The sequence below is a fragment of the Homo sapiens genome, chromosome 11, assembly GCF_000001405.40.
Source record: "Homo sapiens chromosome 11, GRCh38.p14 Primary Assembly".
Lineage (NCBI taxonomy): Eukaryota > Metazoa > Chordata > Mammalia > Primates > Hominidae > Homo > Homo sapiens.
Genome location: NC_000011.10, coordinates 40,662,143 through 40,675,384, shown reverse-complemented (window position 1 = coordinate 40,675,384; position 13,242 = coordinate 40,662,143). Strand labels below are relative to the sequence as shown.

The following is a 13,242-nucleotide window of genomic DNA, read 5'->3' as shown; positions in this document are numbered from 1 at the left end:
AATTTTTCTGAGTCTTAACGATCATAAAATTCTAACAAAATCAAATATTTATAATCAATTATTGAATACTTCTGAAATTGTAGAGTTTCAAATTCTTTTCTTTTGAGCTCCATTTAGGCCATTTTCCTGAAATGCTTAAGTAGATACACTTTCTGATTGCAACTTGGCTTTTCCGCCCCACCTAGAACATGCTACAACTCCTGGTAAATTCCTAAGTCTAAATGGGTCCCATGTAAGTAAGGGGTCTTAAAATTCATGCTTCATTAAATGTATAGTAAACCTACCTTGTCAATGAAATAAATTTAAAAGTAACACAAGATAGAAGTTCTGCTTTGTGTATGCTCTGACTTTTGGGAATTTTTTGATGCTTCAGAGTAGAAATCGTACTTCAGTGACCCAGGTTATAATACAGGCTCTCATTCTGACACACTTGGATTTGAAGTCTGGTTCTGCCAGTGATTAGCTGTGCAAATTTGGGCATATGACTCAAACTCTTTGAAACTCAGTTTTTTCATCTATGAAATGGAGTTAATAACACCCATCATTTAGAGTTTTGATAGAAATTAAAAGGGTGATGGTGAAAAGCTTTTAGCACAGAGCCTACAAAATATAAGCTCTATGCATATGAGGCTTGATTTTATTCATCCTCGTAATCATCATTATTATTATATTTTTAAACAGTTTTGGCATGGAAGCTCATAGAGAACATCACGATTTATAAATATTAAAGTAAATAAGAAGGCATATGATTTATAAACCAGTATTATAATAGTACCTAAAACTTAGATAGGACTATAGTTTACAAAGCATCTCCACGTGCACTGTCTCATCTGATACAAACTGATGCTTACCACCAGGACTGTTATTCACCTAAGAGCCCCTGGCTGTTTGCTGTCAACATCCATTCTGATTGGACAATATCCTTGCCATATTTGCTGTTGAATATTTTGAATGTTATTCTTCAGAACAACATGCTAGATTTTATTGCTCTCTTCTACTTTTCCTATGCAAAGCAGGAAAGGCTAAAAGTGAGGAGAATGAGTTTACCAAACTTCATATAAGAAGGTGGGTCACATTGACTGGAACGGAGCTGCCAAATGCCAACCCCAGTGCTCTTTCCATGATATAAAAGCTGGGTAGTTTTTTTGACATTTAGTCTAGTCTCACATCATCTTTAGATTAACGATGAAAGTCGAATCCTATAGGCAAAGCCAATTTTATAGATATTCTAAAAGATATTATGTTTCCTTCTCTTCCAGTGAAGGGATCACCAATGGGATTGGAAACATTTATAGAATTAACAGTATTAAAGCATTGCATCCTATTTTATGTGAGACCAGAGATATGCTGGGGTAATGCCTTATGGCAGCCTAGATGATGACTGAGCATTGAGGTAACTGCTGGGGAAGAAAGAGAGAAACCTATCAGATTACACTCAAGAAAGCGATGGTTCATGAATATACAATGGTGCATTGCCTGCAGAACCAACACTGGTATCTTGGTGACCATCATTAATTTATTTCCTTGCAACACTTCATCCTCCATACATAACGTGGATCAGTGGCTCTCAAACCATGTAATGAGGAGCTAAAAAGTTTCCTGTGGAATCCTTTTAATCCTCTCAGTGGAGGAAAGAGGTGAAGTAACAGGCAGTGTCTGGCATCCGTTAGAACTAATCATAGTATGTACTTATTTATCTCCTTTATATATTGGACTTGTGCTTAAACGTTCCATTAAAATGGGGATTCTTGTCCTGAAGTAAGCTTGTGAACTACTGTATAAAGCACACAGCATCTAGCTGAAAAGGTAATCATGCCACATTCTAAATATTATTTTGAGAAAGTTATGCTACTTTTCTACAATTCAGTAAAATTTATAGTTTTTGTTAAAAAAATTAAAGGATTACTTTTCTCTGGGGTTTATAAGCTAGTGAAGTGATGTATGTGTTGCTGTTGCCTTATGGCCTGTAGAATAAGATACCGATATTAGGTGTTACTATTATAATTACTATTATATTCTTATCAGTGCTATGTTTGATGGCCATACATTGTACCTGACTTAATCAGAGGATAAATATTCTTGGAAAAGAAAAGCAAAAAGCAGCAGGTAATTTCTCATGAGAACTGCCCTTCTCCTAATATTTTTACTTTTTCTCCAAAATGTTTCCTAAAGTTCAGCTGATTATGTAAGGATCATGTAAGAGAAGATATTGGTTTCACCATAATAAACTTTTTGAATGATTTTACTACAAATTAGCTGTTCAGCAGACCAAAAAAAACATGCATGACTCCATTAAATAATATGCATAATCAGAATCTTCATTTCTTGCTACTTAACTGTTTTTTTTTTTCTTTTAAGATAGGCTTAGGTAATATTCTGACTCCAATTTTTTAAGAGCTTCATGGACAGTCTTTCCACCTATGACCTCACAAAATTAGGAGATTTTTTGAGGTTCAAATATGAAGTGAGGGAATTGTCAAAATGCTCATCAAACAACGTGAAGGTGAAGAAGTCAAAGTCTTTCTTTACCCTCTTAAGTGCTACTAATCTCAGCCGCTATATTACAAATTGGCTATTTTCTTCATAAAAACATGATTTGACTGAGATGTTATTCCTCTGACACAAAGCAAGATTAATTTGTTCCTGTAGTTTGTGATGTTAGCTTGTTTCCACAACTACAAAAACTCCGAGAATAAGATGAGAGATTACTGGCTAAGGCATATCGAAGGAAGTTCGTGTATCTGAAAAAGCTTTGTAATTAGGACATTTCTAATTTATGGTGTTAACAACAGTTTTCCTATCAAGATTCTTCAGCTGATCTACAACCAGAATGACACAGCAAAATCTTGTCCTCAAAGTAGAAATGATGATATCACTTCTAATGGGGAACTCAATTGGAAAATAAATATGTAAAGTATAATACTAGCTGTTATTAACTTTCTCATTTATCTTGTTAGAACCACTGCTATGGTTTAAATGTTGTGTACATCAACATTCATATGCTGAAATTCTAACTCCCAAGATGATGGTATTAGGAGCTGAGGCATTTGGGAGGTGATTAGATCATAAGGATGGACGTCTCATGGATGAGATTTGTGCCTCTTTTATAAAAGAGGCCCAAGAGAGAACCCTCACTCCTCCCACCATGAGAGGACACAGTGAGAGGGCATCATCTATGAAACACACCTAGAAATCTGGCCCTTACCAGGAACCAAATCTCTGAGAACTTTCATCTTGGACTTTTCATTCTACAGAACTGTGAGAAATCAATTTCTGTAGTTTATAAATCACCCAGTCTATGGTAGTTTGTTATAGCAGCCCAAATGGTCTAAAACAACCACTCCAGTGATGAGTAACTAACAACTTGACTAGTCTTGAGACTTGACCCAGGACATAGTCACTGAGACAAGAAAGAAACTTATCCCTTAATTCAACCAATTGTTTACTAAGTACCTGCTATATGCTTAGAAAGTAAGACAGACAAAATCTCGTTTTTGAAAAATGTACATTCTAGAATAGGAATAAGTACAATGAATGTACTTAGAAATAATCTTAGATAGTGATAGGCACGATGAAAATATAAAACAGAGTAATTATAAAGAGGGATGGATAAGAGACAAGGATTATGAAGATGAGGGTTATTTGAGATAATTATATATTACTATTTACATATATTACTATATATATACACACATATATATATACTACACACACACACACACACACACACACACACACTGAATAAGGACAAGAATGAAGGAATGAGACATTAAGCGGCATTGGGTAAGAGAGTTCCAGACAGAGAGAATTGCAAAGATCCTTAGGCATAAATAAACTTGTGCTATATAGAAAGTGAAAGATGGCCAATGATGCTGCAACAAAATGCATAAGATAAAGAATAGTAGGGGCTGAGATATTAGAAGCAACTTTTCTCTATCTGCTTCCCAATCCTTTAATTAAGTTTATTAAATTCCTATTTCTGTGGCTAAACTCTGACGTTAATTTCTGTCCTCTCCCTTAAGCCCTCCGTATCAGTGGATCTTTTCTAACATATTAAATATTTCCAAATTAAAACAAAATACTATTTCAAAGACCAGTAATGCATTTTCTAAAATGGTTGCTAAAGCTTCTTTAATAATTTAAAATAATAAAATGATTAATCACAGTTTCAAATGTTAATACTTTCTAAAGACATCAATTTAGATATAGATATAAATAGCGATGTAGTTGTAGGTGTAAGTATAGATACATACTTTTTTAAAACGCTACAATCCATACACATTTCTCACCCCAAATTTGTGCTCATAAAAATGGTTCTTCTTGGCCAGGCGCAGTGGCTCATGCCTGTAATCCCAGCACCTTGGGAGGCCAAGGCGGGCGGATCACGAGGTCAGGAGATTGAGACAATCCTGGCTAACACGGTGAAACCCCATCTCTACTAAATATACAAAAAATTAGCAGGGCGTGGTGGCGGGCACCTATAGTCCCAGCCACTCGGGAGGCTGAGGCAGGAGAATGGCGTGAACCCGGGAGGCGGAGCTTGCAGTGAGCCGAGGATGCGTCACTGCACTCCAGCCTGGGCGACAGAGCGATGCTCCGTCTCAAAAACAAAAACAAAAACAAACAAACAAACAAAAAGTTCTTCTTCACTGGCCGAATTCAAATCCTAAATTCATAACTGAAGTTCAGGAGGTAAGTGGCCAAACTGACTAATGACATTTTGGTATGTACCCTTTTTTCCCTACATCTAGCAACTTTGCTGCTGGTGGTTTTATGGGCATACATCTTTATCATTTTGTTTTGTTTTGTTTTCAAAAAGGTGTATTGCTGTTATCCTTCAGGAAATGGGAAAAAATGATCAAAGTTCTTGGAAAGTCCATATTTTAGGCACAAGTACCATCAATGTAGCCGCATTAAAAAATGGTATTCACATTGGTCTGATATAGACATGCTTCTCTTTAGAAACAGTCTCCCCACTGGAGTTGAACATTTACATAAGGACATTTTAAAAGAGAAGTCTACATGTAGCCACAAGGATTTACTGTATTGGGTCACTTCACATATTCCCAATGGCCCAAGAGGGAGAGTAATTTTGGCATTTTTATCAAGGCTCAAATTTTCACTGTAGGTACAGGGACACCGCAGTGTATGAAGAAAGCCCTTGTCTAGTGAAGGTGATAGGATACCCCAGACTTCACCTTTAAGTGACTATAATGTTCTCCACTCCTGAGATGTACAACACACCTTGTTTGATTTTGAAGTAACTACTATTTTTTTCTGGGAGAAAAGTTGCTCTTGAGATTTCAGGAGTGAGGTTCTTTGATGACAAAAATGAAGAGCTCTGGAAAAATATTGCTCTTGGCAAAAAATAAAGCTATAATCAAGGTAATTTAAATGTTCCAGTTGCAATGAGACTATTATGTGGTTGTTTGGTAAAGGTCATTATAGTATAGTATATTTTATGAGCAGTGATTTTATACCTACTGTTTCTATAATTAGTTCAATATTAAGTAAAAGTATAATGAGGAGAGATGTTAAATTCTGTATCAGTCAGATAGAAAGGTGGCTTTAGCCAGCAGAGTGTTACATTGGACATAAATATGTATAAAGCAGAAAATAAGTGACAGATGATATCTCTTCCTAAAAGGGCCAAGTGGCACAGCCAAATCAGAATTAGAAATGTGAGGCCTCAGTCTGAAGACATTAGAAGATATATTGGGAGTACCAGGCAAGCTGATTGAAACACAACGGAGGGTCTTGTTTAGTAGAAAGCACACAAGTGCTGATTAAAGATCAGCCTTTTTCCTAAAAGCAGGAACAACAGAACAGATTACCAATAGGACTTGATAGCAGTGCAGGCAGCATGGTTAGGAGAGAAAGGAGAAATGCTGGAGAGGAGAAGAAAGCAATGGCACCAAGCTTTACATTTGAAACATCAGCTGTCTATGGGTTCCCGAAGCCAGGTCTCATGGCCTGAAATCTAAAAGCAGGGAAAAGTGAGTCTCTCAGAATTCTTTGACTTTAAAGATAAGACTGCAAAAATATTTGCTTCCCTTCTTTTAACTGTTTTGGTATATTGTTGCTTTAATAAATAGAAACTTCTTTACTTGTGTTTCTTACAGGCTGCCTTATGAACTCCTAAAAACTCATTGAAGTCCAGGACATGATGAATTGATTTTGTGAATTCGATATGGGCATGGTGATTAGAAGAAGAGGAGAAGGGGCCCATTCATTTATTCATTTATTATTTTCAGCAAAATATTAAGTTGGTTTAAAGGAAATCTGCCAAGAAAGTAGTTTGACTCCATTTGAAACGAGGGCTACCCAGAATAGAAAACCTATTTAAGATTTATATTTGCCTTTAAAAACACAACAACCGTAGAGATTTGAACCTGGGCTATAGAGGTTAGAACATCAAACCAAGGATCAAAACAGAGGTGTTTGCCCTTATAAGTTATCACTGATGCTCTGTCTACTCCTGTTAGCCTTCTTCCTTAAAGACAAAGAACCAAAAATCAATTCATCTAGCCCCATGGTTTCTACTGTCTTTCTCCACAGTACCTTGGCTTTGGGACGAATATAAATCAGAAGTGAATGGAGGGAGGAAAATCTCTCTAGTTTCTATTCCATTGGGTAATTATTTTTTAAATACAAGTAAGATTGAACTGTAATTTATAGCTGAGAGGTCTGCAAGGTTTACTTTTTTCTCTCCCCACCTACATTTTCCTCTCTCATTATAGATTAATGATGGTGAGAAACAGAGCTTTGCTCAGGTATCAGTATGAAAAATCGTCAGTAGAAAATACAAGGGTTTTGTCCAGCAAGAGTCAGGATGGGAGAGAAAATTCTGGCTTTAGAGACAAGGAAAAGAGAGTATTAAGATACGCCTTCTTCCCTTGCGAACTTTATTTGTAGCCACTATTTGTGTGTAGACCATTTAAAATTTAAAATTTGTGTTTGCATTTTTTATGTGTGTGTGTTTCTCTCTCTTTCTAAGAAGGAAAGCAAATGACCAGATACTGGTTGAGGACACATTGATTTGCCAGATATCCAATAATAGATACAGTTATCAAACATAACTCTTTCCATGTTTTAAAAATTAGTCTCGGAAACTACAGCAAATATTATGTGTGATTTACTTTACAAGAAAATGATAAGATGTACCTGCACTAAACTTTGGATGCCAATGTCATTTATAAACATATTTATAACTAGAAATTTCCTTTGGGATCAGATTAGTATCATCAGAAGCATGTGGAAATCTTTTAAATATCAATATATGTCAACCTCATCTCTCCAAATTCTGATTATTCAATTTATTCACAGTGGGGGCCTGACCTATGTTTTTTCAAAAAGTACTTGAGTTATTGTAAAGCACACTCGGAATTGAAAACCACTGATAACCCAAAGTTTTCACAGATGAAGGAGTGTTTTAGTTACCTATGCAGAACATGTTACCTAAGGTAGGTGCTTAACACAACAGACATTATCTCATAGTCCTGTGGATTCAGAGTCCGGGCACAGCTTAGCTAGTCCCTCTGCACAGAGATACCTACTACTACAAGCAAGGGGTTGGCCAGGCTGCCTTCTCTTCTGAAGTTTGGAGTCTTCTTCAAATCTCTTGTTGTTGTTGGCCTAATTCAATTTCTTGCAGTTATAGGACTGAGGTCCCATTTCTCACTGGCTATCAGCCAGGGGCCACTCTGGGCTCCTAGAGGGCACTGTAGCTCCCATGAGTTTCTCATAGTTCCTCTTAGACTCTCTTACCATATGGCAGGCAGCTTACTTCTTCCAGCCTAACAAGAGACTCACAACAGTCAGCTAAGATGGAGTCATCTGTAAGGTAACACAACAAAAAAGTGACTATCCTGTTACTTTTGCCATATTCCCTTGACTAGAAACAAGTTGCAGATTCTCTCCTACATTCAAGAGGAGTGGATTATGCAAGGATTTGTCGCATTGGGAGGCAACTCAAAGTTTCACCAACTCAGATTCTAAAGCTAATTGAAGGAACATCGATTTTCTTATTCCTCTGGGTGGTCTTTCAAAAGAGAAAGCAAAAGTAAAAGGAAAATCATTCATATATAACATTCAGAGTTAAATGTAGAGTATGTGTTTCTGCATCTTAATTGAGCTCCTCATAGAATGTGAAAACACCAATTTATAGTTTGCTTATTTCCCCCTTATCATATAGGTAAAGTTACTTGTGTAAAAACACTAAATAATTAATTTACAATGAGTCTTTAGCCCTAACATATAGAAGTGGTTTGCAAAATATTAATTTCTGTTGAAGTCAGATTTTTTTGGTGAGTGCAACTACATTTTGAATAATCTACATTTATGACTTGAATCATTCAAGTGGCAAAATATTTTGTTCTGAAGGAAAATTAAGTACTTGACAAAAACCATTGATGGCAATTTGAATTCAAGGTATTTCCCCATTCCTAGCATTTTATAGCTACTTAAATATTTTTGGAGTTATCTTTCACAAATATTTGGAGGGACCTCAGGAGGAAGTTGTTATTTTAACTGACCACTGGCTAGGATAGCCTATGCAACTCTAAGACTTGGTTGATTACCATCTGTTTCTAAATCTCTAAAGTACCCTACTTTTTCATTTGGGAAGATTTTCTAATTGCTCTTTTCTCCTGTTAATTTAAGATTATTTTATCTCAACACACCAATAACAATTATGTGCATATGTTGAATGTATTTAGGAAAATATCAATTTTTATATTACAATATTAATGCATTGATATAAGATACTATTAGCAAAAATTCTTCTCTTGCCCAAAGGAATATTTCCTCAGTTCCCCAAATTTGAACCATTTTTGAGACATTGCAAACATATAGCCACATGTGTACCCACCAATCAGATATGCCAAATGTTACCATTTTGTCAAGTTCATTTTATTAACATATCCCTTTCTGGAAAGAAATATAATTTTGTAGACACAACTGACTCCTCCTTACTTCAAACATGACCTTCTCTCCTTACTAGAAGTTAACCAGGATAGAAGTAACTACTATCCAGAAGTACGTTTATACCCTCACCATGCATATTTTATACCTTCCCTCTATATAAATGTACCTATAAAAATATGTAATATTAATTTAAATGGTTTTCTATTTGAATAAATTGTAGAGATACATTTGTTAACTTGCTTTTTGTGTTCAACATTGTAAATGTGAAATTTTGCATAGTGATTTGTGAGGCTCTAGTTCATTTGCTTTGACTGTCGAAGAGTAGTATTCCATCATATAACTGTACCGTAGAACATTTATCTATTCTTCAATTGAAGGGCATCTAATTGTTTACCATTGCTCATCATAATAAACCAGGACCTGTACACATGAACACACACCTATATATAGAAAAAAGCCAAACTTTCTACATTCACACACATATACACACACACAAATATATATACACATATATAAATAACACTTATGTATTTGTATATACATAAATAACATTTTCTGCCATATATTGTATTCTATTCTATTAAATTCTATTTCTTATAGGTAAAAATTGTGGGTAAAGACTTGCTAAATTGACTGGCTAATCTAATAAGGGGCAGTTATTAGCACTTTGAAAAATTATGCTGTAAGTTGTATACCCAATAGCAGAACGGTTATAGGAAATAGAGATCTTCATTTTCCTGATATTGTTAAATTGCTCCTCAAAAGCATTTAAAAATTTTACACACTCATGAGTAGTATAAATGACTTTCTATTTTCTATGTTCTGTTTTCTTTTCAGTTCTCTACATTCTGTAGTTTTCTCAAACTGTCCTTCTCTGGTTTTGGAAAGATGATTAGAGGAGATGATGAGAGGTGTTGTGATTCTCTGAAAGAGTCATGGTATGCCTTGGCAGGACTCATTGTGCCAAAAATGTGCATAAGCCTTATAACACAATAGAAATAGAATATGGAATCATCTAACTATGAGACAACAGGTGTTTCTTTAGATGAGCCTCTCACTCCTACCCCTAATAATATATATATATATATATATATACATATATATATATATATATATATATATATATATATATATTTTTTTTTTTTTTTTTTAAGAAAGCAATGACCCCAGGGCTTTGGGTTCTTCTCAAGCTGGTTGTTTCTTTATTAAAGTTGCTGAAGCCACCAAATTCCATATTTTTCTAGGAATAAGGTAAAGGGGAAGCATCAGGAATCTGCATTCATTCACCTATACCTTTGATTTCCTGAATATATTTTGCATGGCTTATTTACAGATCTGTTGTTAAATGAGGTTGAAAGTATCCTACCAGAAGATAAATTGTCATCCTTGACAAACCATCATTCTCAGCAAACTACCGCAAGGACAAAAAACCAAACACCGCATTTTCTCACTCATAGGTGGGAATTGAACAATGAGATCACTTGGACACAAGAAGGGGAACATCACACACTGGGGCCTGTTGTGGGGTCGGGGGAGGGGGCAGGGATAGCATTAGGAGATATACCTAATGTAAATGACGAGTTAGTGGGTGCAGCACACCAACATGGCACATGTATACATATGTAAAAAACATGCGTGTTGTGCACATGTACCCTAGAACTTAAAGTATAATAAATATCTATATATATATTAAAAAAACAGAACCACATTATGTTATCTGACCTATTCTTTGGGATTATTTGTTCCTTGTTTCTTGAAGGTCTAGGGGAATTTGTCTGTAAAATCATTACGCCTACATTTTGTTTGGGTTTCTTATATTGCTGATAATCTCTGTGGTCTCTTTGTCATTGCTGCTGTTTTCTTTAATTTCTGCATCCATTACAAACTTTTCTAATTTGTTCTCACATTTTTTTTTGAGACAGAGTCTCGCTCTTTCGCTCAGGCTGGAGTGAAGTGGTGTGATCTCGGCTCACTGCAACCTCCACCCATCGGGTTCAAGCGATTCTCCTGCCTCATCCTCCCAAGTAGCTGGGGTTACAGATGCCCACCACCACGCCAATCTAATTTTTGTATTTTTAGTACAGATGAAGTTTTGCCATGTTGGCCAGGCTGGTCTCGAACTCCTGACCTCAGGCGATCCACCTGCCTCTCCCTCTCAAAGTGCTAGGATTATAGGCATGAGCCACCATGTCCAGCCCACATTCTCTTTTTCTTTAACTTTTTAAAATCTTTTTGTAGTTAAATGCTATATAAGATATGCATTTAAAGCTTAAGTTGTCATGCATCCTTCCATGTTGAATTATACACTACTCATTGACATTCAGTTCCAAATATTTTATAATATCAAGTATAATTTCTCCTATGTATGCAGAAATAATTGAGTAAAGTGCTCTATATATGTAATTGGATCAAGTTTATTCATTGGCTTCAAATGCTCTGTAAAGGTTTTATATGCGGGACTTCTGTACAACCTTTGATCAGACAAAATCATCAAGAAGATTGGAACTAGCTTTAATTTTGCTGAGATTCTCTATGATGTCTTTATAATTATTCTTCCTATTCCTCTTTATTTCTGCAATCATTTTGATGGTTGATCTTAAGTACTCAGTGAGGTGTGTTAAAATCTTCCACTGTGATTATGGGATTGTCTAATGTTTCATTTTAGTTCCGTCATTTTTAATTTCATCTATTTTGAGACCATAGTATTGTTATTAGGTACAAATTTAGAAATTCTCTCACTTCTACTTGTATAACTTCATGTTGAATGGAGATTCCCTCTGCTGTTAGAGCCTTTTGCCTGTTTCTATTTAGATATGCATCTTTCTGTTTGGCTCACCCCACTGGCTAAATTATTTTTATTTCTCACACCTGGAAGTTCTTCCCCCACCATTTTTTCAGACCTGTGTATTTGTTGTTGCTGTCATCTTTCTTTGTTTCATATCCAACATTTTGACATTTCTACCTGTCTTATAATAGAAAATGTGTCTAGGTTAGTCCAATCTGCTATATGGTCAGAATCAGAAATTCAAACCACAATTAATTACCAAAAGGAAGAATTTACATTCTAACTAAATAAATTGGCTGGGTGCGGTGGCTCACGCCTGTAATCCCAACACTTTGGGAGGCCAAGGCTGGCAGATCACAAGGTTAGGAGTTCGAAACCAGCTTGAACAACATGGCGAAACCCCATCTCTACTAAAAAAATACAAAAATTAGCCAGGCATGGTGGTGCACGCCTGTAATCCCAGCTACTCAGGAGGCTGAGGGAGGAGAAGCACTTGAACCTGGGAGGCGGAGGTTGCAGTGAGCTGAGATTGTGCCACTGCATTCTGGCCTGGGCAACAGAGTGAGACTCCGTCTCAAAAATAAATAAATAAATAAATAAATCTATCTTATCCAAGTGACTTATTCCAACCAAAATAACACAAAACAGAAGCCCTATTGATTTTCTATTTCTAGGAGATATAATTTAACTTATGAAATTATTTCAGAACTAGCACATTATTATGATGATTTCTACCAACCACACCACTACTACTATTTCAAATATCCAATATTTATAGAGTGCATATCCTGTGATAGCTACTTTATAAAGTGCTTTATGCATGTCAACTAAATCTTCACACAAATACTATGAAGTAGGTGCCATTATGATTCCCTTTTGAATGATGAAGCAACTGAGTTGTAGTGGTTAAACAACTTGCACAGAGTTACTTAATTATTAAATGACAGAACTAGGATTTGAACCCAGATCTTCTGATTCTAGAGCCCTGATCCTCACCAGAATACCACTACTGCACTTAGACAAAATGAAGAGATGTCCCTTCCCTGGGCCCCTCCCTTTAAAAGGATCAGAACTGAATTTCCCTGGCCAGTTTCTTTTCGTGAACACGGACTTCATGGAGCTAAAGCTATGTTCCTCCCGATAGTCCCCTACTGTATTCTAGACCATGCCCCAGTGTTCATTCAGACCCAGAAATCCCTGCCCAAACTCTTTTTTAAGGGTCTGCAAGGTTGTCTTTTCTCATTGTGTCTTCCTGAGAGCAGCTATAACTACTGTAATGGGTACCTCTAGCCCAAGGTAGACTTTATATAGGGTTTGTGGTCAGATCTTGGACATGTAGGCTAGAGTGTCCACATGCATTCCTGTGGGGTCTCTTATACAAAGCTGGACTTAACAGGGGTAAGAATGAATAAGATATGGGCTTCAGGAAGTGATCTGGCCACCTAGGATTGACATTTCATTTCAGTAAAAACACTTCTAGGAATCTGAGAATTCTAATTTTGAGCTTGACCTTGCAGGACATTATGCAGATG

At 36.1% G+C, this 13,242-nt stretch overlaps 1 protein-coding gene across 18 annotated transcripts in view; it reads left to right on the top strand.

Annotated features, from left to right (window-relative positions):
- LRRC4C (leucine rich repeat containing 4C) overlaps positions 1-13,242 on the top strand; it is a 1,345,454-nt gene that overhangs the window by 784,268 nt on the left and 547,944 nt on the right. The gene's annotated exons all lie outside the window — the stretch shown is intronic.